We start from the raw sequence: 27,182 nt of genomic DNA, 5'->3' as shown, positions 1-27,182 counted from the left end.
CTTCCCTCTGGTTTTGACCATTCTTCTGTTCCTATCTTTCTGGGCCGTGCTGAGGGGCATTTTCTTCTTTCTCAAACTGTGACTCTGTGTCTCCCCCTCAGATTTTCTGTTTCACAGTTCTTTGACAAGGAGCTCCAGATCACCTGATTACCTTTGTTGACTTCCTTCTTTTGTGCCAAATCGTCCTACTTGGAGACCTCTAGTCTCTCCAGGGTTGAAAAGGACCTCACTTTTTAAGATGAGAAAGCTGTGGTCCAGGGGTCAGCTGGGAGGAAGTAACAATCTCAACAAAAGCCCAGGTCTGAAGTCTTAGGCCAGATCTTATTCCACCAAATCTCTAGCAAAGGACACTTCTCTTTGGACTTCAGATCCAAAGCACAGATCTTGGCCAGACACGGTGGCTCACACCTGTAATCCCAGCACTTTTGGAGGCCAAGGTGGGAGGATCATTTGAGGCCAGGAGTTTGAGACCAGACTGGGTAACAAGGTCAGACCCTATCTCTACAAAAAATAAATAAATAAATAAATAAATAAATTAGCTGGACATGGTGGCCCACACCTGTAGTCACAGCTACTTGGGAGGCTGAGGTAGGAGGATGGCTTGAGCCCAGGAGGTTGAGGTTGTAGTGAGCCGTGATTGTGCCACTGCACTCCAGCCTGGGTGACAGAGTGAGACTGTCTCAAAAAAAAAAAAAAAAAAGCACATATTTTGCTCAGAGTCCTATTTGTTGTTGAAACCATGACCACGTATAGTCTATACGTGTATGTGTGTGTGTGTGTGTGTGTGTGTGTGTGTGTGTAGTGGTGTGTGTGTGTGTGTATAATCATATGTGGGCACTAGGGACCAGGTCCTGTGCCAAATGTGTTATACAAATGATTTCACTGAATGGACAGAAATACTCTACGAGGAATCATTATCTCCATTTGGTGGATGAGGAAACTGAGGTTCTGAGATGGCCATTAGCTTGCTCAAGGAACATAGAGGCGGTACACGGCAGAGCTGTGATTCCACAGCTGTCTGACCGTAAAGTCCCTTCTACAAACCACTCCACACTCACCGCTCTGAATGTCCCCTTCCCGGGCCTGTCAAGTGCCTCCTGGCAGCCTAGAACACCAGGCTGTCTCTCTGTCATTTGTGTAGCCTCTGGAATCTCACCTCCTACTCGAGAAAGCCTTCTCAGATGGTTCGAGGGGAGTTAAGGATGGTCCCGTCTGAAGGTGGGATTCTTGCGGTCACAGTAGTCAGCAACTCTCACCCTCACCCGCTCTGTGAATGTTCAGCTCCAATGTGTGCGGGTGGGACCCATGCTTGTCCCTGCCAGGCTTAAGCCCTGTCTGTCAGCATCACGGGTCTGTCTGCAGCTGCCTCATTTCTGTGGAAAAATGAGCAGCAGCCCACTGGGTATTTCCAGTGAGCAACGGTGGGTTTTATGTAAAGAGTCAGAATAAGCACGTGTAAACACGGCTGTGGCCGGCACTTCAAGAGGGCTGTGGCCCGTGGGCCTTGTTTTGGAGAAATTCGCTGAGGGAGGGGTTGGAACCACCTCACAGCAGGAGCAAGCGAAGGAACAGGTGGGAAAAGTGCAGACGCAGAGGATCACCGAGCTGTCGCCCTCGAGTGTGAAAAGGGCTGTCTTGGGGAAGTGGGATTTGACTTCTGCTGTGGGTCCCCACAGAGGGGAACAAGGAGCTACAGACACACGGTTGGGGTGAATTACAAGGAAAAGCAGCTATGTCAAATCCTTCTTTGGAAACAGGTGGTGCCTAGTCAGTCAGAACTATCCCCAGATGGAGCGATCTGGGCACGGGCCGGGCAGCCACCAGGCAGGGGTGTTGCAGAGGGTCCACCTGAGAGGGCTCGGCTGCTCTTGCCTGGGAGGTCCTGGAGGGCAGGGGCAGCCTCCTCCACTGCCCACTGCCCATTCTTCAAGGGGGTAGGGGCCAACTTGACTGAGACTACCAGGGTCCTGCCAGAGGCTTCTTACCTACTTTATCCCATCTAATCATGGATTTATTTCATTTTATTTTATTTTATTTTTAGAGACAGGGTCTGGCTCTGTTGCCGAGGCTGGAGTGCAGTGGTGTAATAGCTCATTGCAGCCTCAAACTCCTGGGCTCAAGGGATCCTCCCACTTTAGCCTCCTGAGCAGCTGGGACTACAGGCATGCACCACTGCCCTCAGCTAATTGGACTGATTGATTGATTGACTGATTGATTGTAGAGAGTGTCTCACTTTGTCCAGGCTGGTCTCAAACTCCTGGCTTCAAGCGATCCTCCTAGTTCAACTTCCCAAAGTAATGGGATTATAGCCGTGAGCCACTGCACCCAGCCTTTAATCATGGGGTGTGGATCATGCAATGACAGGAATGCCGATTATCAGAAGAAGAGCAGGGATTTGTCCCACTCTGCCCCCTGTTGCCCTGAACAAGACACAAAGGGGCAGTAAACTCCATGACTAAGAGAAACCCTGGGGCCCCTGCGTTTAAGATCCTAGACTGTCTGAACCACAGGCCTACTGGGGAGTCATCAGGTGGTCTTTTGGTTTCCTGCCCACACTTATCTTCTGGCCTCCCCTTCGGGTGTCCCAGTCCTTTCTCCCTCCTCTTTCCTCTTTATCCAGGGGAGAAGCCCAGTATCTGCTGGAAATAGGGAACCTTAGAGTTGCCCCACCAGCAGAGTCCCCTGAGAGCCTCCCTTAGAGCTGCTGAGAGGCTAGCTGGGGACCAGGGACTCGGTATGGACTCATGGGCTGTTTTCTCTTGGCTTGAAAAAAAAATCTCTCCACATGATCTGGCCTCCTCTTATCATATCTGGATGACCTAGCACCTGATGTGAGTCCTGAGGCAGTGGCGCGGCTGGGCTGCGCTCAGGGTTCAGCATTAAATCTTAGGGGAGATTTAGATGAGATTCCAGAAAAGGGAAAATTAACCTCTAGTGACAGGAAGCAGATCAGTGATTGTCTGGGGCTGGGATGGGGTGGAGAATTGACTGCAAGAGGTGGGAGGAAACTTTTTGGGGTGATGGGGATGTTCTAGATTTTGATTGTCATAATGGTTACACAGGTGTGCACATTTGTCAGCCTTCATTTAATTGTTAACTTATTATTGATGCATTGTTAATTTAAAAAAACAAATCTTAGAACAGATTGGTAGCAAGTGCCATGTTCAACAAATGGTCAGGCAGGCACCAGTTTGCTTAATTCTGAGGACTCCTGTTCAGCCACAACAAAGAACATGTAAGCCATGCAGATTCATGGAAGACCAAAAATGAAGTAATACGGCACAAAAAAGAAGGAACTCAGGGTGGAAATTCACAGTGAAGACAACAGCTCTCTAGGGCTCAGGTCTGCTCTGTGCAGAGAGGGAGCTCACCCCCTGGGAAGAGGCCTTCCTTGCTCTTGGTTGGCCTGGATGTTTTGAGCAGCTGGGACAATATCCTGCAGAAAGTAGAAGGAATAATCACGAGGGGAAATGGGGCCCTGCTAACATGTGAGTAATAAAAGGGGGAGACAAAATCCAGATGGAAAGCTGATCCTGTCTTTACTTAAAATTCTGATATTTTATTCACCTTGGACTTTTCCCGTTAATGCAGATTTTAAAAATATTTCATTAAAACATGATTTATCTTGATTATTTGGGCACGCTCTTAAATTGTGCAGCCTGGGCAAGTGCCTCACTTGATCACTGATGTCCAGCCCCAAGGGAAAAGCAGGAAGAGAGAACCAGCCTCTAGTCCACAGAACTCAATGGCGATCAACCTCTGCAGGCCTGGAGTGGGGAGAGGCACGGCTAGGACCACAGCCTGGAGGGACCCAGGACGGCCCTGGAAGGCTAAGTGGGGGCGGAAGAGACCTGCCTGGGGCTGCAGCTGGGAAGACTGCTGGGCTTGGGGGGTGGGGCAGTACAGACCATAGGAGCGTTAGGTGTGCTGGGCCCAGGGGTGGCTCCTGGTGACTCACCCCCTTGAGGGTGGACCCAGTGTCTCCCCTCTGCCACACTGAGTCTTTAAGTATGTAGTTGGTTTCCTGGCTGCCCTCAGGCCTGGAGGGAAACCCACCTATTGTGCCAAGAGTGGTGGAGAAGCTCAGAAGCGGGGTGCAAAGTGGGGAAGGGTAGGCAAGGGCTCCAAGCAGGGAGTTGGGAGGTGATTCAGGGGTGAAGCTGCTGATAGGCTCAGGAGGGAGGAACATGGGCCCGAGGTGGGAACTCCAAGGAAGATAACAAGGCTGGGAATAGAAGGCCCAGAGCTCTGTTTCCCAGGCTGGAGCCTCAGGAAGGAGTTCCCAAGGCACTGGGGTAGTGGTAGCTAGAACAGCCATGGAAGCAGAGAGCTAGGAGTTTAGTCTCAAAACAGTAGTGAGATTTTCTCACACCTCACTCTCCTGGACAGCTGCCAGGAGATGTGTGCTTGTTTGCATGGCTGACATTTTTCTGTAAAACTCCCTTCACTCCACATGGAAATGACCCAGGTAGGAAATGACCAGGGTACAAATGGGCCTGATGGCTGGCCTACACTCTCCCTGGGGCGTTGAGGGAGCAGAAGGTGGGTCCCAGGTGCTGCCAATAGCCTCTGGGTGTGGAGTAGCCAGAGGTGGGCAGGTGTCTTTCCAGAAGGCAACCAGGGAGCTGAAGGGAGAAAGCCAGGGACCAAGGCCAGAGAGAAGGAGGCAAAGGAAAGGGTGGGAGTCAGAGAGAGCCTGGGATTGTACAGTCAGGAGGACAGCAAAGGAGGCCGGGAGGAGGGGGAAGGAAAGGGCCAGGCCAGGGTCAGTGGGGAAGTCAAAAGCGGTGCAGGCCTCTAAGTCCAGCTCTGTGGGGGAAGCATCCAGGTCTTGTGCTGCCGCAGCGCCTTCACTCTGAAAATAGGAAAACCACCAGCTAGGAATTTCATTCCTCAGTGTCCCCCCGCCACCCGCCCCAACACATCAACTGTGTGTTCTCCCAGGGCAGGGCCCCTGCCTTTCTGTTCTTTGCCCACCACTCTCACTCCCCAGCAGCCACCGTGGGCCTGGTGCTGAGCAGTCAATCCTTGCTGAACTGAACTGCCCTTGGTGGGGATGTCACACGGGTCAGACTGCTTTGTCAGCGAGGACTCTGGGACAGGCCAACTTGTGTCTCTGATGCAAACCAAGGAAAAGAGCAAGAGGTGAAACTGATGTTCCTTCCCAGCCTTCCCAGTGCCCTGTGCCCCGTGCCAGGCACTTCCTCTGGTTCTATGTGTTCTCATTTTCCCGATGGTGAACCTGTCAGGCCTTGCGAGTTCCCCTCAGAGTTAGGGTTCTCATTCCCCCGAACTCGCCCAGACCCCCAAGCCTGAGCTCTTTCCCTAGGTTGGTGGGACCTTCAGGGAAGGAGGCTGAGGGTGCCCTTCGGAGACCAGTGGCCTGCCTGGGGGATGAAGTGGAGGCCCTCGGATCTGGCCTGGGCGTGCCAGGGCTCAGTGGCAGCCAGAGAGGGGCTGGGCTCCTCCCTGGGAGAGAGGGAAGAGGAGCAGCTGAGGACAGGAGGTGGGTATCTTCTCAGGAGGATGGATGGGAGGGGCCCCTTTGTCATGGTGGGCTGGTGGATGGGGCAGGAAGGGGATGTGGCCTGTGGCTGAATTCTGCTCTCTTTGAAAGCCAGGGAAGTGGCTCCCACAATAAGCCAAGATGAGAGAACTCTAGGGTCCCTGCCTGGGCCCTCCAGAGTTCTCTCCTCCAGCCTCTTGCCTCTGGGTTAGATTTCCCTCAAGACACCCTAAGCTGGGGCACAGTTTCCACTGTGAGCTAGAAGTTTCCGTTTTCTTGAATGTAAATGGGGGGCGATAGTAGTCACTTCCTTTCAGTTTTTGCTCAAATATGTCACCACAGAGAGCCCTCTCTGACCATCCTGTTCCCAACTGCCAGGACTCTGCCTCCCCTACCTTCTGGATCCTTTCGCTGCTTTGTTTTTGTGAACGGCACTTTTCACTTTCTAGGAGGCTGTGTAACTGATTTATTGATTTTTGTCTGCTTTTTCCCCCCAACCCGCAAATACTAGAGCCACAGGGCAGGAGGCTTTGCCTATTTTGTTCCTGTGTCCCCAGCACCTAAAGCAATGCCAGGCACTCAATACATATTTGTTGAATGAACACGTGAAGGATGCGTGTGAAGTGTTTCGCAGGATTCTTGGCATCTTAAGATTATTGCTGCTGCTGTTGTTTGCTGTGTGACTTGAGCACATTCCTTAGCCTCTCTGGCCCTCTGTCTCGCAGTCTGTAAAATGAAAAGAGTGAACCACTAAAGATCCATGAGCTTCTTTCAAACTCTAAAAATCTTGGTGCCTCTGAATGCTCAAGAAAGTTCTTCCCAAACCTCAACAGGAACTCCTTTTTCTTTTTTTTTTTTTTGCAGTTCTCAGCAGCAGCTCAGCTGGAACTTAGCCGGAGGTGCTAAGGACTCCTTTTGCAATAGCCCTTCCTTTACTTCTTTTGACTCTGAGGATCAGAATAGGGTATAGGTTTGGGATCACGAGTCAGCCCAATGTTTCTTGGAACAGTTTCCATTCAGATAGTTATGTTTTATTTCATTGACTTTGATGTGTTGCTTCTGGCACTTTATTGTTTTCAATAGAGGGCAATTCATGATGTGCATAATTAAAGGTCATTTGATTTTCATTTCTTTGTTAAGAGTTTCATAAAAACAAACAGAGTTCAGGAGAAAGCAATTGCCAGACCATGCGCCCAGAGACCATGTGCCCTGATTTGGGATTTGGACACCTGGTCCTTGGAGATGAAGGTTCCCACTGTCCTGCCATAGGTGGGGCTCTGCCCCTGGCCTGGAACGTCCCCTGTGGGGATAGGGTCATCCCTCAGAAGGCTCTGGAGCATCTGTTTCAGGGGCTCAGGTCAACAGGACCAAGACCATCCTCTCAAGGCTCTGCCCTTTCTCTCAGGGCCCCTCTGAAGAAGTAGCTCAGAACACTCCTCTGCTTCTGTGGGGGCAGTTTCATGAGTAAAGGCAGCTTCAGGTTCCCGGTATTTGGAATTTGGTATTCGCTGAGTAACTGGGATGGCCTCGATGAGGGGCAGAGGAACAGGTCTGGCTAGTTCTGTGTTGTTTATACTGGGGATTACTTCACACGTCCCAACCGGCTTCCCCGCCCCATTTGGTGGGGGCTGGCCCTTGGCCCTCCAACTCCTTTACCCTACATGCCTGAGAAGCCAGGGACCAAGATGGATCTTCTCCTCGACATCAGCTAAGCCTGGAGGACTCTTCCCCTCAGAGACCATGGAGAGGGACAGCCACGGGGTGAGTGTGACCTCAGGCCTCGGGCCAGATTCTCCCAGCGCTGAGGAAGCAGGGCTGAGGCTGGGAGACAGGTGGGACAGCTACCTCTGTGTTTCAGGTTTGGGGGAAACTGGCTGTGCCTCTTCTAGTTTGAAGCTACTTACGATCAAGATCTCTTGGTCTCCTTTTAACGTGGTTCTAGAAAAAGCCCCTGGGAGGAGAAGCTGCTGGGATTTGGGGTCTGGCTGGTGAGCACCCCAGGGCTATGTGGCTGAGTCGTGGGTTTCCTGCTCTGTGGTCTGTGAGCACTCCTGCCGGGCATCCATAGTGTTACAGCACCAACTTTGCCGATTGGGAATCCAGGCTAATCTACTTTAATCTCATTTTTGCTGGTTGGAAAATCAAAAGCATTCTAACTGCAATTCAGGGGCATCTTGTCTAAACCCCTCACTACACTCCTAAACCTTCCCAGAAAACTGTGACTTTCTGGGTGCATTCAAGATTTTCAAGGGGATGTTTCAACCTCCGTTGGTCACTTCTTTTTGGACTTAATAACTTTCATGCTTGGGAAGTGCTTCTTGATGTTTAACCACAAGTCCTGCTACCACTCAACTTCCTTTCTTCTGCTGCTCTTGGGGTAGGAGAAAGCAGCTGGCCTGTCCTCTGTGGGAAAGCCAGTCATACACACATGAAGGCTTCCAAAGATCTTGTTCTGCTGTGCCTCCACTTTCTTTTCCTCCAGGAAATCCCTTTTGTGCTCTCATTTCTCCTTTAGGTCTTGTTTTCTGCCCCCTCCAAATTCTCTGTACCTTACCGACATGGTAGAGCCTGGGACTCTGGGAAGAATGGGCTAGCACTGGGTTTGGGAAAGATCAGCTCATCCTATGTTTTGGCTTATAGTTGGCTTGTGGTCCATTCTGCACCCCCAATGTGTTTCTGCAAACTTTACCATCATTTTTTTCCCACCATTCTTCCAGCCCCCTCTTGACTTTTCTTTCCCAGGCTGCCTCCCTTGCCCTCTGCTCTGGGCTCCTTCGTTCATGTCTCTACCTCACCAAAGTCACTTGGCCCTAGGCCTTGGGGGGTTATCAGAGCCTCTTACTGTTGAGCAGTAAGGGGGGTACACAAGGGCATGCAGAAGGTGAACCCTTAGTCACAGCCATGGGGCATCCTCCTTGGCAATATGCTGGGAGCCTAAACTAGATGGTCCCTAAACCCAAGAGTGAGAAGGGCTGAGCTATCCGGAGGGTGGCCATGCTCCCACTGGAGATGGATAGTCCATCCCTGAGACAGGGTGATGGGGCGATATCTTCCCAGGAAGCTCATCTCTTCAGAGTCAGGGATCAACATGAAGGCTGCTGGAGGGATACAGGACAGAGAACAGACTTCTTTGAGGAACTCCCAATTAATCTATGAATTAAGTGTCAAATATTATGATAGGTGCCATATTCATTCTGAAAAAAAGATTGTCCAAACTTACCTTGGAATGGAAGAATGGAATCATTACATTCTTATTTAAGGTTCTTAACTTCACTCCCCTATTTAAGATGGAACTCTGAGAGAGTGAGCCTATAGTTGGGGCTCGTATTCCCATCTGCAGCAGGTTTCTTAACCTTGATTAAATAGGAGTGGTCTGGGAGAAGCTGGTCACCTGAGCTTGTGCCTTCTCCTTGAGGGCTTTATTGCAGAGAGATGCATTGTGATTTCTGTCCCTCAACTCCAAAATGTCGTGAGGAAGATGGTGGCCAGTGGGCTTGAGCCTGATGGCACTCCTCTGTCAGCTGCTGGATCTTCAGAGGGATCTTGGAAAAGAGGTGGAGAAGGGTCTCAGTTTCTCATATTCAAAAGAAAGTTGCATGTCGTGGTGGACAGAGAACTGACCATGTTCCCCGTCAGCTTTGGGCAAGCCACTTCACCTTTCTGTACCTTAGTTTCTTCATCTGTAAAATGGAATAATAATACTACTCTCAAAAGAAGAATGTTGGACAAACTAAATTTAACAGAGTTTAATTGAGCAAAGAACAATTCTCAAATGGAGCAGTCCCCCGAAGGAGAATAGATTCAGAGAGATTCCCACACAGCTGCGTGGTCGGAGAGGATTTATGGACAGAAAAAGGCAAGCAGTGTATGGAAAAAGGAAGTGAGGTACAGAAATAGCCTTATTTGAACACTGTTTGAACAGTTGGCTGCCTTTGATTGTGCAAAATTGGTGATTGTTAACAAGAGTAGTTTACAGTCTGTTTACACGTCCAGTTGAGTTATAGTTCATTATGTACAGAGAAACCTTTTGATCCGAACTTAAAATATGTAAGGAGGCAGCTTTAGGCTAAGCTTAATTTAATAATACCTACCTCAAGGAGTCTCAAAATAGTGTCCTTCCCATAGTAAGGCTCATTTAGAATAGCATCTGGCATAGAGAGATAGAGATAGATAGATAGAGATGGAGTCAGAGAATGTTGAAATTTATCATCACTGCCTAGAATTTGGGGTGGGCTCCTATAAATTTGGACAAACATCTTCTTCTACCTGTGCCTCAGCTTCCCCACCAAAGAAGAGGGTTGGACACATTCCCCCCTGAGGCTCCTTTCTGGCTCCCTGACAGTCTGGAATTACATAGAACGGGGATGACAGGTGCGCCACACCAGATTTGTTCTTGACAATGCGTATTTTGTGCTTTTTCAATTCTCATTTTTAATTCTCAGAGCAGTGCAATGCTTATTAAAGAAAGACTGAATTAGACCCATTGATGAAGCAACATTCCTTTGTGGAGTGGATTTTCTTATACTGGGCCTTCTTCAAGTGGAACAGGTTCCAAATTAGCCCAAGGCCACAGGTGCTAGGGATTGGTGAGAACCGTCTGGGGGCCCACCGCTGGTCCAGGATAAGGCACCCTTTCCAGAGGAGCTGGGCAGTTCCTGAGATGGCTCACCCGCGGGTCAAGTCACTCTGCCATGCCGTGTCCCAGCCCCATCCCAGCCCCAGGCACCCCAAGGACCCTGGCACCTGCCCTATGCCCCTGCAGGTGTGTAGCCCTCACCTCGTCCTCCAAGGACCCTGGCACCTGCCCTATGCCTCTGCAGGTGTGCATCCCTCACCTCGTCCTCCAAGGACCCTGGCACCTGCCCTATGCCCCTGCAGGTGTGTAGCCCTCACCTCGTCCTCCAAGGACCCTGGCACCTGCCCTATGCCTCTGCAGGTGTGCATCCCTCACCTCGTCCTCCAAGGACCCTGGCACCTGCCCTATGCCCCTGCAGGTGTGCAGCCTTCACCTCGTCCTCCAAGGACCCTGGTACCTGCCCTGTGCCCCTGCAGGTGTGCAGCCCTCACCTTGTCCTCTGTTTCATGTTGTCATTGGTGAGGAGCAGACTTCCTTTGGCACAGCCACCTCGATTTCCCCTGCATTGTCCCCTGAGACTTGGCAGATGTGAGCGTAAGCGTGCGGGAGTGTGTGTATTGGGCCCTGGGCTGGGGAGCTGGGTGGGAAGGACAACTGATGTAACAATGGCCACTTAGCTTAAGTGTCTTGTTTTGGCAGAACAGATTCCTCTTGGTATAGCAACAACAAGGGTGGATGTGCCTGGCCAAGTGGGCAGGGCACTGGTGGTGCAGGCATGAGGGAAGCCACCACAGGGAACCCTGGCTTTAGCCGTCAAGTGGAGGCCTTGACAGCACCAGATGGGGGTTGGTTTCCCTAGGAGGGAAGCAATACCCAAAACTTTAGAGGGGCCCCCATTATGTACCAGCCCTGAGTGTGTCACTACCCTAGGACTGGCAGCAAGAGAAGGCACAGACACAGGGAAACATTGAGGCAGCAAGTTCCTGGGCAATCAAACATTATTTGCTGGGCAATAGTGGGCACTCCATGTTCTTTACAGCATTTGATAAATGAATGAATGAATGAGTGAATGAACGAATGAATGAACAAGGAGGCGTCTTGATTCTGGTCTAACAGGGATTCCTTGAGCTTTTTCATGTGCACAGGAGGCATCGGAAACTAGAAGGGACTTCAGCACTTACTCTGGCCAGTCCCTTTCAAGTTCGTTGTAGCAGCTGCCTCTTTTGTTCAAATGAATGTTATGTTGACTCCGCTGTATGAAACTGAAAGGTCGGTCTTCTCTGTTGAGGTGGGGTAAGGGCTCAGAGCCCACCACAGTCCCCACCAGCTGGTCTGCAAGGCACCTCCACGGAAACTGAAATGCTCTGTGGAACCCTGTTTGAAAACTGCTGATTGTCCAACACCCTTAATTTATTGAAGAGGGAGCTGAGGCCCAGAGAAGGATGTGACTGTCCCCAAGGTCACACGGCGGCCTAGGAGCAGAAGCGAGGCTCCCCGTGCCCCCCACCCCCAGGGCGAGGCAGACCCTGCAGCTCTGGCCCCTTCCAGAGTTCAGTCTGCCTCAAGGGCTGACCCAAGTCCCTGAGCTGTATACTGCGTGTGTGCTGGAGATGCTGGTGCTGGGTGAGGAGGTGGTGGGGAAGATGCCTGTGTGCTGAGGAGAGCCTGTATTTGTGGGGTTTCTCTGGGTTCGGGGAGGGGGAGAGTAGGAAAGGGCCTTGGGAACCTGGAGGTACAGTGAAGCCTGGGTCTAGCCGTGAGAAAGGGAAAAAAGTCACCCAGTCCAGCCGGGCCCTCGCTGGGAAGGGTTCAGGCCTCCCCTGCCACAACCCCAGGGCTCCCCAGGTTCCCAACAGGCAAGGAGGGTTTTTAGGCTCTGTCAAAGGGAGATCCTGATCTTTCTCAGTGCCGCCAGTGCTTCCAGAAGGGTTTAGTGAGGGGTTTTTCTTCCTGCCTAGCCCAGAGTGCTGGGTTGTTGGCCCATGGTCTGCCCGTGCCCACCCTATGGGCGCCCTTGATGCCCAGGGTCACTGGAAAAGGGACGCTGCCACGGGGGCCTCTGTCTGGGAAGGGTCCTTTCTCATGGAGGCTGGTAAGGGACAGAGAGGGGAAGAGCAGAGTGTTGTGTAACAGCCCAAGGATGGGGGCCAGAAGATCATGGTTCTAGAATTGGCACCGTCCCCACCTGGCTGTGTGTCCGTGAGCAAGTCACACAGCCTTTCTGGGCCTTCATCGCCTCAACAATAGTATAAAGGGCTTGGGTAGGTTTTCTTTTCTTTTCTTTTCTTTTCTTTGAGATGGGGTCTTGCTATGTTGCCTAGGTTGGTCTTCAGCTTCTGGCCTCAAGCCATTTTCCCACCTCAGCCTCCCAAGTAGCTGGGACTACAGGCCGGCGCCACCACGCCCAGCTTAGAGGGTTTTCAGAATCTTTGCAACTCTGACAGCCTGTGATATGCCCAACCCTGGGTGGTAGCTTTACGAAGGGATGGCCCAGGGCTGAGGAGGGAGGCCCAATTGGCTTAAACTGGACTGAAACGGGCCCTGATGCACCCGCCCTCAGGCCATGAAGCAGCTACTGCTCCCTGCTGGACATTCTTCAGGACTAGAAGGAGAGCTTTTTTTTTTTTTTTTTTAATTATTATACTTTAAGTTCTAGGGTACATGTGCACAACGTGCAGGTTTGTTACATATGTATACATGTGCCGTGTTGGTGTGCTGCACCCATTAACTCGTCCTTTACATTAGGTATTTCTCCTAATGCTATCCCTCCCCCGTCTCCCCACTCCCCGACAGGCCCTGGTGTGTGATGTTCCCCATCCTGTGTCCAAGTGTTCTCATTGTTCAATTGCGGGAGAGCTTTTTATAGGGTGGTTCACACTGCAAGCCCAGGCTCTGGGGGACCTGAAGTGCATATTTCCCAAGTTCAGGCTGCTGCTTATGGCTGAAGAACTCTCATTATGCAGAGCCTGGGGCTCGATCCACAGCAGCAGCTCCATAACCACTGAGATGAAGCAACCATGAGCCCACATCACTCAGGCCCCCTCTCTCACTGGCTGGGCCCCCAGAAGGTCCAGGAGAGGACAAGAGCTGGACATACTCAGGGGCTGGCTAACTTACTACCATCCCCACCAGGTAACGGCCCAAGGGGCAGAGTCTGCAACTGGAAACCAGAAAAACATCCCATTCGCCTCAGGGGGGATCTAACCCTGGGAGCTGTGGTGTCGAGACCCCTGGGCTGGAAGTGGGGGGCCTTGGGTTTAGTCCCTCCTCTGCTGTGAGATGGGCCTGAACAACTTTGGGCAAAGCACACAAATGTTTTGGGCCTCTACCTCTCAGTCTGTAAAGTGGGAGTAAAAATGCTTATAGACTTCTGTCCAGGGACAGGCTTTGGAAAGACTCCCAGAGCCAGGGGCTGCTCCTTTTAGCCCTCCCTGGCTTGTCCCTTACCGCTTTCCTGCGGACCCCTGCCCTGCCTTCCTGCCCCAACACGTCTGGAGGGCCCTGAACAAGCCTTGGGTGAGGACCCTTGGGAGCTGCAGAGGCATAGCCAGGTGGTAGCAGTGACAGCCTGGGGTGTGGGCCTGTTCCATGTCATGGTAAGGGCTTACAATTGTGTTACTGCAGGGGGTAACCTCAGAGACTACCCCACGGGTAGGTGGGGAGGAGAGGCATGGTCAGGAAAGAATGGTTGGCAAGGTTAGGCCAGGGATGTGGCTCAGAGTTGACCACACTCCCCTGCTCCACCCTGTGCACCTGCCCCTGAGCAGGCTGAGAAGCCTTTGGTCTGCAGGCAGGTTGTGGAGACACCAGGACACATCAAGGAGTTGGTCATTTCACTTCCACTTCTGAGTCTTCGGCTCACTGCCAAAGGCCAGGATTTGGGAAGCTTGGGTTCTGGTCCTGGTTCTGCCCCTTGTAGCTTGGGACCTTGGATAAGAAGTCTCGGCTGGGCGCGGTGGCTCACGCCTGTAATCCCAGCACTTTGGGAGGCTGAGGCGGGCGCAAGATCAAGAGATCGAGACCATCCTGGCCAACATGGTGAAACCCCATCTCTATTAAAAATACAAAAATTAGCTGGGCACAGTGGCGCGTGCCTGTAGTCCCAGGTACTCAGGAGGCTGAGGAAGGAGAATCACTTGAACCCGGGAGGTGGAGGTTGCAGTGAGCCGAGATCACGCCACTGTACTCCAGCCTGGCGACAGAGTGAGACTCTGTCTCAAAGCAAACAAACAACAAACAAACAAGTAGTCTCCTCCCCTTCCTATTCCCCAGCTGCTGAAGGCCTCTACTCTGAGGGTGAGATCAGGCCAGCGGTGGGAGGCTAGAGTCTCAGCAGTTGTTCTCCAAGAATTGGGGAAAAGAAATGAGTTAGTGCTATAACAGGTTAGGTATCCAGAAGAACTTCCAGCAGCGTGGGGCAGCAGGCCGTGAAGTGCCTAAAGAAGGTTGGTGTGGAATCTCTTACTCAGATGATCCCTGAAGATGAGAACTCTTCTTGATGTCTGGGAGGGTTTGGGTTGAGGGTCAGAGTCAGGGGGTGGAGCGGGGACCTCACTCTGGATGCTGCTCTCCTCTGGTCTGGGGGCTGCCCTTCCATCCTGATGTCCCTGTTGGGACTTGTAGTTCTCTTCATGGGCAGTTCTTCTTCAGGTCTTGAGGCTCCAGAACTCTCCTCTTGCCCTGGTCTTGGGGTCCAGCCACTTTCCACCTGCCTCCCAGGCTCTGACAGCAGAGCACTTGCTCTACCCAGACCAGAGCTAGATACCCCCAGACCCAGGGCCTGCAGAGACTCCATCCCACTTTCGGATGTGTCGCCCTTTCTGCAGTTCTTGGCTTTCCACCAATGCCCCCTCCCCACCAGTTCCCTGTCTGGTCTGACTCCCTTCTCCTGTTCCAGCTTTACAGCTTTCCCCAGCTCCCTCCCCCCACCTGCCCACCCATTTTCCTCTGGGCCTCTTCAAGATGGGGCAGCTGGGGCTGGATGGGAGGGTTCTGTTCAGGTAGAGACAGCCTGAGCTGCCTGGGAATGAGACGACTGTGCTAGAGTTCCTAAAGACCACCAGCTCATTCAGGGGGTGAGGTGGGCTGTTTCGTCTCTCTGAGCCCCGGGTCCTTGTGTACAAACTGGGGATAGTAATTCCTGCCCAGCTTGCTAACTGAGAGACTTGTGAGAATCAAATCACATAATGGTGCAAAACTGCACATACGAGCCCTGAAGAGACGAAGGTAGGTCCTGTGGATGTTTGTGACACTGTAGGTCAAGGCCCTCCTTGCTCCAAGCAGGCCTGGTTAGAATCTGAGCTGTCACTTACCTGGTGTGTGAATTTGGGCATGTTCTTAACCTGCCTGGACCTCTGTTTCAATATCTATAAAATGAGGCTAACCATACCAACTGCAAAGAGCTGTCAAGAGGTTGGAATGGGGTCCCGTAAAGTGCTCGTGGGCTGTTATCTTTGTCATGGTTTGACACACATTTATAGACCAGGCTCTTTCATGTGTATCACCCATTTATCTGGGGGAAGGAGGTAAGGTCTGCCCATTTTACACATGTGGAATCAGGCACTGAAGGGTTATGTCGCTTGCCCAGGAAACGCAGTTGGGAATGGAGGCAATCAGATTCAGATTTTTCCATAGCAAGCCCAGCATTCCCACAAACAAACAAACAAAACCCCACTATCGGCTGGGTGTGGTCTGGTGGCTCACGCCTGTAACCCCAGCACTTTGGGAGGCTGAGGCGGGTGGATCATTTGAGGTCAGGAGTTTGAGACCAGCCTGGCCAACATGGTGAAACTCCATCTCTACTAAAAATACAAAAATTAACCGGGTGTGGTGGCGGGTGCATATAATCCCAGCTTCTCGGGAGGCTGAGGCAGGAGAATCCCTTAAACCCAGCAGAGGTCGCAGTGAGCCAAGATCGCGGCACTGCACTCCAGCCTGGGCAACAGGGCAAGATTCCAATACAAAAATTAGCCAGGCACGGTGGTGCACACCTGTAGTCCCAGCTACATGGGAGGCTGAGGCAGGAGAATAGCTTGAACCTGGGAGGCGGAGGTTTCAGTGAGCCAAGATCATGCCACTGCACTGCAGCCTGGGGGACAGAGCAAGACTCAAAAAAACAAACGAGCAAACAAACAAACAAACAAAACCCCTCCATCACAGACACGGCTCACCACACCCTCACTGTGTATTGGGCGTTTTACAGGCATGATCTGTGACCTCAGTACCACGAAGCAAGGTGCTTCGCTCTAGCTTACAGATAGGAGACTGAGATGTAAAGAGGTGAAGTCACTTGCCTGGGGCGCCCAGCTGCCTTAGAGGCAGGCCAAATTCCAGCCTGGTCTCTCTAACCCAGAGCACCTGAAAACTCACCTGACCCCGATGCCCCAGGCCACCAGGCACCTCCTGGTCTTGGCAGGTCACAGGGCCCCACTATGGGTCACACTGGAAAGTATCACAAGACCAAGATCCCTGTGGTAACCCCCAGCCCTATCCCCAGGTTCCCAAGGTGTTCCTGGCCCTGCAGGGCCAGGGGGCCCCATTCTTAACCAATCTCACAAAGGCAAAATGAGCACTCTGTACACGTGGTTCACGAAGACTGTGCAGGAAGCTCTTCTGACTCAAGAAGGGCAGGTGACTCAGAGACAAATAGGCATGGGGTAGAACCCTGACTCTGTGATTCTGCAAGATGAGCTCTGAGCCTTGGCTTTCCTATCTGTAAAATGGCCTTCCAAAATACCAACCTCCCAGGGGTGTGGTGAGGCCCTTGTGAGGCCACAGATGTGAACGTTTATTATCAACTCTAAAGTGCCAGTACACACACGAGTGATTAGTATTTTATTGTCCCGGCTTATGGGAATTCCCCCTGAAGTTGGGGAAGACTTAGAGTGTGCACAAAAGAGGAAGGAGATCAGGCAGGCTGGTGAAGGTGCCACAGTGCCAGGATCCCTGGCAGGAGCCGAGGCCCAGGCCACCCCAGGAGGGAAGGGCAGGGCCTTCTGCAGCTGGGGCTTGTCCATGTTATGGAAAGACCTTAGTCTGGCCTTTGTCCAGCATTCTTTTTCTCCTCAGATGAGCTCACAATGGCACTCAGCCCCTTCAGTTGGCAGGTCAGGGCTTTTCTTAACTAGTGCTTAACTAGCGATTACAGCTCATAGTAAGAACAATATTTTATAATCTAACACACATACATGAAAGAAAAGGATGCGGATGTAGGAGGTGGAAGGGAAGAGGGCAGAAGGGGTCTTTGCTTTCCCCATGGGGGACCACATTCCCTTGATACGAGGTCTCAGAGTGAGTGACCAACCCAGCAGCCTCTTCCTTTAACCCCTCCTAGACATGCGTAGCCTAAGCAGGTGACCCCCAACCCCCGGGCACTTGGCCCATTGCCCTCTACCCATCTCTGCAGGTCCTATGTGGCAGGGGAGCCCCTAGGGGAGCTGGGGGACAGCAGGTTCTTTGAGCTTTCATTCTATCCTTGGACACAGTCCTCCTCTCAGATGCTTCCTTGTCCGGGGGGCTTTGCTCAACCCCTAGCTGCTGCCCCAGAGCATTCATCTCCTAGTGCAGCACAGCTGACAGCTGGGGTGGGTTGGCAGGGGAGCAGCCTGTGGGATACTCTTCGATCTGCTTTCAGAATGCATCTCCAGCAAGAACACCTTCAGCTGGAGCATCTCCAGCCCAGGCATCTCCAGCTGGGACACCTCCAGGCCGGGCATCTCCAGCCCAGGCATCTCCAGCCCAGGCATCTCCAGCTGGGACACCTCCGGGCCGGGCATCTCCAGCCCAGGCATCTCCAGCTGGTACACCTCCAGGCCGGGCATCTCCAGGCCGGGCATCTCCAGCCCAGGCATCTCCAGCCCAGGCATCTCCAGCCCGGGCATCTCCGGCTCTGGCATCACTTTCCAGGTCCTCATCCGGCAGGTCATCATCCGCCAGGTCAGCCTCGGTGACAACCTCCCCAACCAGAGTGTACCTTGTTAGAGCAACACCAGTGGGGGCTGTACCCATCCGATCATCTCCTGCCAGGTCAGCACCAGCAACCAGGGCCACCAGGGAGAGCCCAGGTAAGGGGGATGCTGTAGGGAAGCCACGAGAGATGGGAAGCAGCCCATGGGCAGGGAGGAAATCTCAGAGCCAGTGTGCTCTGCTCTCATAGCAGACAACGATGCGGGGAAGGGGAGGTAGGGGGGTGGGAAGTGAGGGACCTGAGGGTGGAGGCAAAAAGGAAACATTACATGAAAACCTGAGACAGTGGAAAATGAGGGGCAAAGGGGGTAGGTGATAAGAAGCCAGGACTAACAAAGCAGCTTGTCACCCTGGAGTCTGCACAACCCAGGTCAGAGCACCGGTTTCAATAGCAAGGTCTCCCAGTTAGTCACAGGGTTCTCTCCTTGTGCTGTCCTGTGGGTCTGCCTAAGAAGCTGGGGTCTGCAGTGGAGCAAGGTCATGATCAGTGGGCCCATCTGTGGGTGGGGGAGGAAAAGGAGAGATTCTGACCAGGTGTGCAAGTCCATCCCCAGCCTTCCAAATTGTGGGTTGTGTGGTTTAGCTACTAGGGAGTCAGAGAGGTTGAATAGGCCTTGGGGACTGGGTCTTCCCTTAAGGAATCAGTGTTCCTGCCCACTCCGATGCTGCCCTCCTCCCATCCCAGAATTCAGACTGTCCCCACCACCACAATACACACAGGCCTGGATGATACGTGGCTTTGGAGGATCACTCGAAGTTTGGGGCCCATCCCACAGCCTTGCCCTCTCCAGGGTGGGTGAAGTGCTTTGGTATCAGACCCACTGCACTGGAATCCCTACTCTGCCACTAACTCACCAAGTAACCCTGGGCAAGTGATTTCACTTCCACGAACCTCAGTTTCCCCATCTATAGAAAGGGGCCTAATAAGACTCTGCTCATGAGGTTGCTGTGAGAATTAACACAGGCAAAGTGCCTGGCTGGCCCAGAGGAGAGCACAGTAAAAGATCGCTGCTGGTGCCAGGCAGGGGGAGCTCAGTTTTTGCATTTTCAGATGGGACAAAATTCATTCATTCATTCAATTGACTTTGAGCCCCATAAAATCTCATTCCAACTTCTGGGGTGGAGTGGTCCTCACGGGGCCCTCCTGGGCCACAGTCTTGTTTCCCCCACCCTCTCCATCTCGTCGGACTCCTCTCCAGCCTCATATTCCCCTGCTGCCGCCCTGCTCCTAGGTACGAGCCTGCCCAAGTTCACCTGGCGGGAGGGCCAGAAGCAGCTACCGCTCATCGGGTGCGTGCTCCTCCTCATTGCCCTGGTGGTTTCGCTCATCATCCTCTGTGAGTTGAATGGAGGGTGCAGGGGTGGGTTCTGGGCACTGCTGGGCAGAGTGGGACCCAGGGATGGGGGCAGGCAGGGGAGACAGGTGTGGGGAGCACCCACTCACCCGGCTACTGTGTCCAGAGAGGGACACTCCTGCAAATGGCCTTGGACTGTGCTGCCCCCGGGGCCCCTGTGGGGTATCCAGGTTAACAGTGTGGAAGTCAGAGGAACCTGAGCTTGGCTCTCATCTGTGCCACTTACTATGCAGCTTACTTGGGCAAGTTAGTTAACCACCCTGAGCTCAGTTTCTGCATCTTCAGATGGGACAAAATTCATTCACCCATTTCATTACTATGTGTCCCGTAAGTTCTCATTCCAACTTCATTAGATTATGAGGAATAAATAAGACAACAGCACAATTCCTGGAACAAAATCTACAAATACTAGCTATTAAAAAAACACACATGAAAACACTGATTGGAAAAAGTCTGTCAAGGATATTCAGTCAATGGGATGACGTGTTCAGCATTCAGGGGTTCAGGCCCATTCTCTTCAGCAAAGATACCCAGGCATGCCCCAGGGCTCTCTGCTCAGAGGTCCACTATGAGCCCAGCACAGTGGGAAACTTTAGGCAGCGCAAATGTGCATGTACATTATTCTGTCCTGTCCTCAGAGAGATTACAGTCTCCTGGGGGAATAGCTGGAAATTTTGAAGGGCAAATGCATTTGAGTGTGACTATGAGGAGGGGATGACAGCTGTGTGGGTTGGATGCAGGGGATAGCTTCTTACAGCTGTGGGGCCAGATGAAGACCTGGAAGGTGGGACAGCAATTATGCCCAGCAGGGCATCTGAGCGAATGAGCAGCCACAGAAAATGTGGGAAACCAGGTGGCAAGGACAGCATGGGGGAGAGGAAGGGACCCGCCTAACCAAAGTGGAGAAGGAACTATCAGGGACCTGGGGCCGTCTGTTTGGTTCAGCAAGGCTGGGCCATGCTGTAGAGAGCTTTAAACCCCAGGCCAAAGAGTAAGGATTCTGTTAAAGAGGCAGCACCAGTGGTGAAGGGTGGAGTGGACCAGCGTGTGGAAACGTCTGCTGGCAGGGCTGCTGAAGGGGATTCTGAGGGAGGGGCAGTGTGCTGGCAGAGCAGGCTTTAGTGCCACACAGACCCTGGCTCTGCCACCGACAGGCTGTGTGAATTCGACAAGTCCATTAACATTCTGAGCCTCAGTTTCCCCACCAGTCTGACTGGGTGGGGTGGTCTTTGTCATAATGCACATAAAGGCCTCGGCATGGTGCCTGCTGTGACTTGCTGCCCTGCCCTCCCTCCCTTTCCCACTACAGGGCACCCTGCTCCATGAAAGCCACAGGACTAACCCATGGAGGGGCGAGATGGCACCCACGGGTGGGCTCACAGAATAGAACTAAAGCTCTCAGCGTGGTTTCACAGCATTTCCTGAAGTTCCCAAAAGCTCTGCCAGGGAGGCCTCTAGACCTCCAGGGCTAAGGAGGTGGCTTGACTTGTGCAGGTCACCAAGCAGCTACCTGGTGGGGTCAGGACTAGAGCCCAGGCCTCCTGACTCCCAACCCGGCCCAGTACCCTCTCCACTACACATCCACGTGGGGCTCCATGAGCACTCCAGGGGAGACTGCCCAGGGTTCCCCGGGGGTTGAGTGCCCAGGATATGGGAGGAAGACCAGGGCACAGAGAGGAGGGGCCAGCCCAAGAGATTAGGAGGGATTTGTGTCTGGACCTGGAAGGAGCAGTCACACCCGGGCGGCCTTTACCCTGGGTGATGGAGAGCACAGTGGGCCCCGGAGGAGAAGCAAGGGGTGGGGCTGAGGAGCTGGTGGAGGAGGAGCGGCAGGGTGAGAAGTTAGAACCCGGGTCTGTGAGGCAGCCAAGGGGAGGTGCCTCCAGGCAGGAGGGCCCACAGCCCCTGGTTTGGAAAGAGATTGCTGTTAGAGAGGGAGGAAGTCGTGAAGCAGATTTGCACATATGGCTTGTAAAGCTGTTTTCTTTTAGCCCCAACTTGTATATGTGGGAATCAGCCACCTAGAATTGCTGGTTGATTGAAAAGACATTTAAAGGCATAAAGACAAGTCATGGGGAAAGAACTGAGCATAGAGGTGTCCCTTGCGCAGGGGAGAGGGAGAAGCAAAAAACCTAGGAGCTTTTGAGGCTGGAAGGATGGTCGCCTTTGAGAACAGACAGACGGTGGTTGCCTGTGTGACTGTGAGGACAGAAATTTATCTGCTGTGACCCTGCGGAGCACAGAGAAGATGGGATGGCAGAGGGGTTCTGAGAGGGAAGCTCTGGGATACTGGAGGAGGTGGTTTCTCTGGCCACTATGTTGGCCAGCATGTAGGGAGGGGAGTTCCCAAGGTGGTCCCCATCTCCACAGCACTCTCTGTCTCTCTCTCTCTTTCTCTCTCTTTCTGGGTGGCTGGCTGCTTGAATCTGCCTGGTGCTGCCCTGCTTGCAGGAGCTTTCTGGAGCATTCTGGAGCATTCCTGAGCAGCCTTTCTCTCCATACAGATGGGGGATGAGAGCCCCAGAGTTCAAGAGGGATTGCAGGTCGGTGTCTCAGAACCCCCAGGTCCTTGGGCTGCTCAGTGTCTCATCTCAGTGGGGCTGGCCATGACCCAGCTGTCTGCTTCTTTTTCTCTAGTCCAGTTCTGGCAGGGCCACACAGGGATCAGGTACAAGGAGCAGAGGGAGAGCTGTCCCAAGCACGCTGTTCGCTGTGACGGGGTGGTGGACTGCAAGCTGAAGAGTGACGAGCTGGGCTGCGGTAAGGAGGCTGGGTGCGGGGGAGCGCGTGCGTGTGCATGTGCATGTGTTTGTGTGCCTGTTTGTATATGTGTGTGTGTATGCATGCCTGTGTGTGTATATGTGTGCGTGCATGTGTGTGTATGTGCATGTTTGTGTGTATGCATGTATGTGTGTGTGCACGTATGTGTGTGTGCATGTGTGCATGTATGTAATCCAGACCCAATGATTCCCTGTCCATTGCCTCCCATTTGAGCTGATACACAGTTTGCATCAGTCTGTAGCACTCTAGTGACTTTGCATTGGCTCTGTCCATGCTAGGCATCCTGGGCTTCTGAGTACTGGTTAACCCCCATGACCCAGGCCATGTTCCTGGACTTTTCCCAGGCCTCAGCAAGGAGTGCTGTCAGGACAAGCGCTTTCTCAAAGCCTCACTCAGCTCATCCCCCAAGAGCTTGATGCTTCCTAGGTGCTGAGGACCTGCTCTGCCTTTTTCTTGCCCTGCAGTGAGGTTTGACTGGGACAAGTCTCTGCTTAAAATCTACTCTGGGTCCTCCCATCAGTGGCTTCCCATCTGTAGCAGCAACTGGAATGACTCCTACTCAGAGAAGACCTGCCAGCAGCTGGGTTTCGAGAGGTAACCCCCAACCTGGCCCCAGAGTCCAGGCTTCAGGGATGTCTCAGGCTCTTCATAGGGTGTCTCAAGCATGTTGCAGAAACATTATATTAAAAAGACCCTTGGGGACCGGGGCTGATCTCACTAGCTCTGGACACCCTCGAGGTGTTCAGAGTCAGAGGCCCTGAGATCCTATGAGTCTGGAGCAGATTGTTTTCATGAGGCCAACATAATGATGTATAGATCTGCAATAGTATCAGACTCCTAGATGGTTCTTTGCATCAAAGCACGCTCACATCCATTATCACATTCACTGATCGTGGTGGTGGCCCTACGACTTGGGCAGGCATTTGGGCAGATCTTTTCTTCTTATATCTGGGAACTAGAAGCTCAGGTTGTGCAAAGCCTTTCAATGGACTTTGAGCTATAGCTACTGTGTCTTGAGCCAGACCTCATCAAATGGAGAATGAAATGGGGCAGGTGAGGCTAGGCAGAATCATAAGGGTCTTTGGCTCTAAAGATTTTAAACAAATCAGGCAGTGCTAACAGGTAGAGGAGGAAGTAGGTGAGCAATGACCTTCCACTTGAAGAAGTGTCTGATTTTCAGCCCAGACACGCATCTCCATCCTCCCTCTTGGACTGAGTTTTCCAGATGGGTAGTCTTGGGTTTATCAGTGTGTGTGAGGTTGTGGGGAGAGGAGTTTAAGATCTCACTGTGGGTTCTCTACAGAAGAAGCACCAAAAACACCTGGGGTGGGGTGTTAGGATTTAGAACATGTTCTCCACCCCACCTCAGCCTGTCCAGATCCATGAAAGGGGGATGGTAGTAATGCAGATGGAAGACCATGGGCATCTTTTATGAGTTGTGTGGCCTTATGCAAGCCTGAACCTCCTTTAGGTATTCAGGTCTTTGAATGTCACTTATTCAAAGAATATTCATTGAGCTTTTATCGTGTGCTAGATACTGTGTAGTACCTGGACACAAAGGAATAAGACAGGAGCCCAGCCTTGAAGGACCTCTAGTGTGGCTCAGTGAGAGAGACTTAAACCAATAACCACAGCACGATGTGACATGTAATGATGAGGATGTGGGTGAAGCACTAAGGGCATACAGTGGAGAGGGTGCCTAACTGCACTGGTGGAGAGAGCAGAGAATGGGCCCTCTGAGTAGAGGAGCAGCGTGTGCTAAGTGTCATGCCAGGGCGTCACGCAGGGGTGTACCATGTTCTAGAAATATACATATGTTCCATGCAGAGAGTAGAACACATTAGAATCACCCGCCGTGCTTGTGAAAATGCATCTTGGAATCAGAATCTCTGGGATTAGGACTTAGAACCTGCTCAGCAAACATCCCAAGGTGATTCTTAGGCACGCTGTGTTCTAAGATCCAGTGGGCTTGCCCAGAGCTTCTCACGCTTTAATGTACAGATCAGTAACCTGGGATTCTTTAAAATGCAGATTCTTATTCAGTAGGTCTGGGGGGGTTGCTGCTGCTGCTTATTCACAGATGACAGTTTGGGTAGAAAAGGGCAAGATTGGTGTTTCTCAAACTTGAGTGTGCATCAGCATCACTAGAGAACCTGTTAAAATGGTGATCGCTGGGCCCACACCCAGAGCTTCTGATTCAGAAGCATTGCTAATATTAATAACTTCCCAGGCAATGCTAATGCTACCAGTCTCCACCATGAGAAATGCTGGGTAGTGCATAGGGCTGGGGATCTTGGAGGGGAGTTGGGGGAGATAAGGGGCAGTGGTGGAGCATGTGGGTGGGGCTGCACTTTATTGGGGCTTAGCTGCTGCTTGGAGGAGTTGGCCACCATTCAGACCATCACAGTCTGGCCTCTGTCGGCAGGGCTGGTGGGGCTCTAGCCTGCTGGAGGACTTGGGATGACTCTGTCTCCAGGGGGCTCATTCTTCTCCCCTCTGCTCCCTTGTAGTGCTCACCGGACAACCGAGGTTGCCCACAGGGATTTTGCCAACAGCTTCTCAATCTTGAGATACAACTCCACCATCCAGGAAAGCCTCCACAGGTATGGTGGGGCAGGCAGGCTGCCTGTTTGTGAGCAGGGGAAGGAGTGGGTAGGAGAGGGTCTTTGAGTCAGGGAGCCCCCTTCACTGGCTTTTCTAGTATCCAGCCTCCAGGAGTCCACCATGAGTGTTCAGGGGCATCTTGGAAATAGTCCTTATTCACCAAACTGCCTTCTGACTTAAGAATTCTTATCTGAGGCTCGGTGCTGAGGACAACTGGAGACCAGGGGTGCCCCTGAGAGTTTATCAGGTCGTCAGAGGCAATTCATGAACCTTGGGACCACCAGTCGGCCAGGTGTTTGGACTGAGAGCTGCTGCAGGGAGTGGACCTGGATTGGTGGGGGAGAAGCACCACTGACACCCTGGCATGACACTTTGCACATGCCGCTCCTCTACTCGGCCCATTCTCTGCTCTCTCCACCAGTGCAGTTAGGGGACAGGGTAGACAGGCAGCAGTAGGGGACCGCCAGGTGCAGGCATCAGGGACAGGGAGGGCCACGTTGGAAGCATCAGAGGTTTGGGGTCTCTGCCAGCTAGCATTGTTTGCCCTACGGAGGGGAGAGAAGAAGCCAGGCTCCAAGAGAAGTAATGGTGAGGGAAGGGATGTGAATTTGCTGCAGCTGGATGCCAGCTCTGTGCTGCGTGGTTTCTGCATCTGCGTTGAGGAACTGTGTCAGAGGAGCACCAGACCACCTGTTTAGTTGTGAAAAGATGCTGCGACAATGAAGTCCTAAGTTCGAAGAACATGGATCTGGGCCAATGTCTGCAATGTGCCACAAGGAAACTAGTTGAGGGGATGAGAGTGGAGATGGTTTGCACTGAGCCACTCCGATTCTGGACAAAGCACTGGAAGGGACAATGTCACATGGGGAAAGGGGAAGCTCAGAATCTCCTGCTTCCTGTACAAAGGGTAGCTTCCTTGGAAACAGGATAGGAACTGAGCAGGAGTCAATCAGGAAGGCTTCCTGGAGGAGGTAGCTAATGTGCCCTTTTCCCACTTTCTGTGTCTCCCCCTGCAGGTCTGAATGCCCTTCCCAGCGGTATATCTCTCTCCAGTGTTCCCGTAAGATGTTCTTCTTCTTGGATTGTGGCCAGTGTCGTGTGGGAGTAAAGGGCAGAGGGGCAGCACTCCTCCAAGGGAGGTGTTTGGCACAGGGGTTCAAGTCAGGAACAGTGTCTTAGCCAGCAGGCCTGCTTCAGGGCTGGAGTCCCTGTAAGGCACCGGTACACCCAGGGTAACATTTCCCCTTCTCCTGACTCTGGTAGGGGCTCAGCCCAGCAACCTTTTATTCCAAGGAAGCTGTCTGAGTCTTCTGTGCATCAGGGGAAGTGTATTCTTCCTATGTTTAGAAACAATAGAGACCCTCATTATAATGCTTGTCAATTCAGGGTCACATTAGAACTGGTCTGCATTCCTGTGCACCTAATGGCAGTCCTGGGACTTACCATCATGACCCCAATGCCCAACACAGTGCCCAAAGCTTGGGACACTCCAAAAGGATTTGTCAAGTCAATGAAAGAATGAGTGAAGGAGAAGAAAGAGGAACCTGCCTGGGGTCAAACTTTCCGCGGAATGATCCCAGAAAGCCACCCCACCATGTGGTGGCTCTGCTCTCACAGAAACTGCTGTGTGTAGCAGATAAGGGAGCAAAGCCCGTCCATGGAAGGGTGGGTGCCCTTCAGGATGGGGCTGCCTGAGCCTGTCCTGGCCCTGGGAGCACAGCAGAGGCATCCTGATCAGGAGCTCGGAAAGAACCCTGGGAGAAACAGGGTTCACAGTACGTCTACTCCTTCCCTCCAGACTGCGGACTGAGGGCCATGACCGGGCGGATCGTGGGAGGGGCGCTGGCCTCGGATAGCAAGTGGCCTTGGCAAGTGAGTCTGCACTTCGGCACCACCCACATCTGTGGAGGCACGCTCATTGACGCCCAGTGGGTGCTCACTGCCGCCCACTGCTTCTTCGTGTAAGTGCCTGAGAGGCAGGTGATTTGACACTGCCCAGGGTCGGGAACCACCAGGAAGGGCTGGCTGCAGACTGACTTCTTCGTGGAGGAGGATTCTGGGTGTGAGTCCAGCCCCCATGGGCCAGTTGGCACTGGTGTAGCTTGGGTGTTCACCTGGTCCTGAGAGTGTGGGTCGGGGGTGTTTGTTCCGAGCTAGGCCCAAGGATGAGAAAGTCCCATTGACGGCCCCAAGGGGGAGAGAGGCAGGCAGGAAGAGGGACTGGGAGCCTGCCCCTGAAGAACAGGGTGAAATGAAAAAGGCGTTGGGTTTGTTGCTGCTTCCTGCAAATGGAACTCATAGCAGAGGAGCCCCTAGTTATCCCAGAAATTGAGGGTTAGGGATTGCAGGCAGGGCACTGTATCAGCTGCTAACGGTCACCAGCTGGTCTATTGTC

General features: G+C 52.6%; 1 protein-coding gene across 4 annotated transcripts in view, besides 7 other annotated features; it reads left to right on the top strand.

The window, feature by feature from the left end:
• Positions 902 to 1,071: an enhancer, noted in NCBI's record as "experimental_19102 CRE fragment used in MPRA reporter constructs". NCBI's record gives its function as "activates a minimal promoter by MPRAs in K562 erythroleukemia cells, with activity observed for the introgressed 11:117806283 variant allele {active_cell/tissue: K562}" and the evidence as "EXISTENCE:reporter gene assay evidence [ECO:0000049][PMID:34662402]".
• Positions 3,391 to 3,929: an enhancer, noted in NCBI's record as "H3K4me1 hESC enhancer chr11:117803340-117803878 (GRCh37/hg19 assembly coordinates)". NCBI's record gives its function as "activates a minimal SCP1, AML or CMV promoter by ChIP-STARR-seq in naive H9 embryonic stem cells {active_cell/tissue: H9 hESC(naive)}" and the evidence as "EXISTENCE:reporter gene assay evidence [ECO:0000049][PMID:30033119]".
• Positions 3,930 to 4,469: an enhancer, noted in NCBI's record as "H3K27ac-H3K4me1 hESC enhancer chr11:117802800-117803339 (GRCh37/hg19 assembly coordinates)". NCBI's record gives its function as "activates a minimal SCP1, AML or CMV promoter by ChIP-STARR-seq in naive H9 embryonic stem cells {active_cell/tissue: H9 hESC(naive)}" and the evidence as "EXISTENCE:reporter gene assay evidence [ECO:0000049][PMID:30033119]".
• Positions 4,162 to 4,291: an enhancer, noted in NCBI's record as "active region_5578". NCBI's record gives its function as "activates an Ori minimal core promoter by ATAC-STARR-seq in GM12878 lymphoblastoid cells {active_cell/tissue: GM12878}" and the evidence as "EXISTENCE:reporter gene assay evidence [ECO:0000049][PMID:35858748]".
• TMPRSS13 (transmembrane serine protease 13) overlaps positions 7,152 to 27,182 on the top strand; it is a 28,762-nt gene continuing 8,731 nt past the window's right edge. For 3 of the 4 annotated variants that reach the window (NM_001077263.3, NM_001244995.2, NM_001206790.2), the window contains exons 1-8: positions 7,152 to 7,267; positions 17,716 to 18,145; positions 19,280 to 19,384; positions 22,040 to 22,162; positions 22,648 to 22,777; positions 24,694 to 24,786; positions 25,804 to 25,847; positions 26,586 to 26,748. In NM_001077263.3, coding sequence (NP_001070731.1) covers positions 7,247 to 7,267; positions 17,716 to 18,145; positions 19,280 to 19,384; positions 22,040 to 22,162; positions 22,648 to 22,777; positions 24,694 to 24,786; positions 25,804 to 25,847; positions 26,586 to 26,748 — 1,109 coding nt within the window. In that variant the 5' untranslated portion in view covers positions 7,152 to 7,246. The remainder of the gene's footprint in view (positions 7,268 to 17,715; positions 18,146 to 19,279; positions 19,385 to 22,039; positions 22,163 to 22,647; positions 22,778 to 24,693; positions 24,787 to 25,803; positions 25,848 to 26,585; positions 26,749 to 27,182) is intronic. The other variant, NM_001206789.2, reaches the window with a different exon arrangement.
• Positions 16,630 to 16,709: an enhancer, noted in NCBI's record as "active region_5577". NCBI's record gives its function as "activates an Ori minimal core promoter by ATAC-STARR-seq in GM12878 lymphoblastoid cells {active_cell/tissue: GM12878}" and the evidence as "EXISTENCE:reporter gene assay evidence [ECO:0000049][PMID:35858748]".
• Positions 16,910 to 17,009: a silencer, noted in NCBI's record as "silent region_3939". NCBI's record gives its function as "represses an Ori minimal core promoter by ATAC-STARR-seq in GM12878 lymphoblastoid cells {active_cell/tissue: GM12878}" and the evidence as "EXISTENCE:reporter gene assay evidence [ECO:0000049][PMID:35858748]".
• Positions 21,622 to 22,614: an enhancer, noted in NCBI's record as "H3K4me1 hESC enhancer chr11:117784655-117785647 (GRCh37/hg19 assembly coordinates)". NCBI's record gives its function as "activates a minimal SCP1, AML or CMV promoter by ChIP-STARR-seq in naive and primed H9 embryonic stem cells {active_cell/tissue: H9 hESC(naive and primed)}" and the evidence as "EXISTENCE:reporter gene assay evidence [ECO:0000049][PMID:30033119]".

Source organism: Homo sapiens, chromosome 11 (genome assembly GCF_000001405.40).
Source record: "Homo sapiens chromosome 11, GRCh38.p14 Primary Assembly".
Classification (NCBI taxonomy): Eukaryota; Metazoa; Chordata; class Mammalia; order Primates; family Hominidae; genus Homo; species Homo sapiens.
Note: the sequence above shows the minus strand (reverse complement) of the source record. Positions and strands in the feature narration are given on the sequence as shown.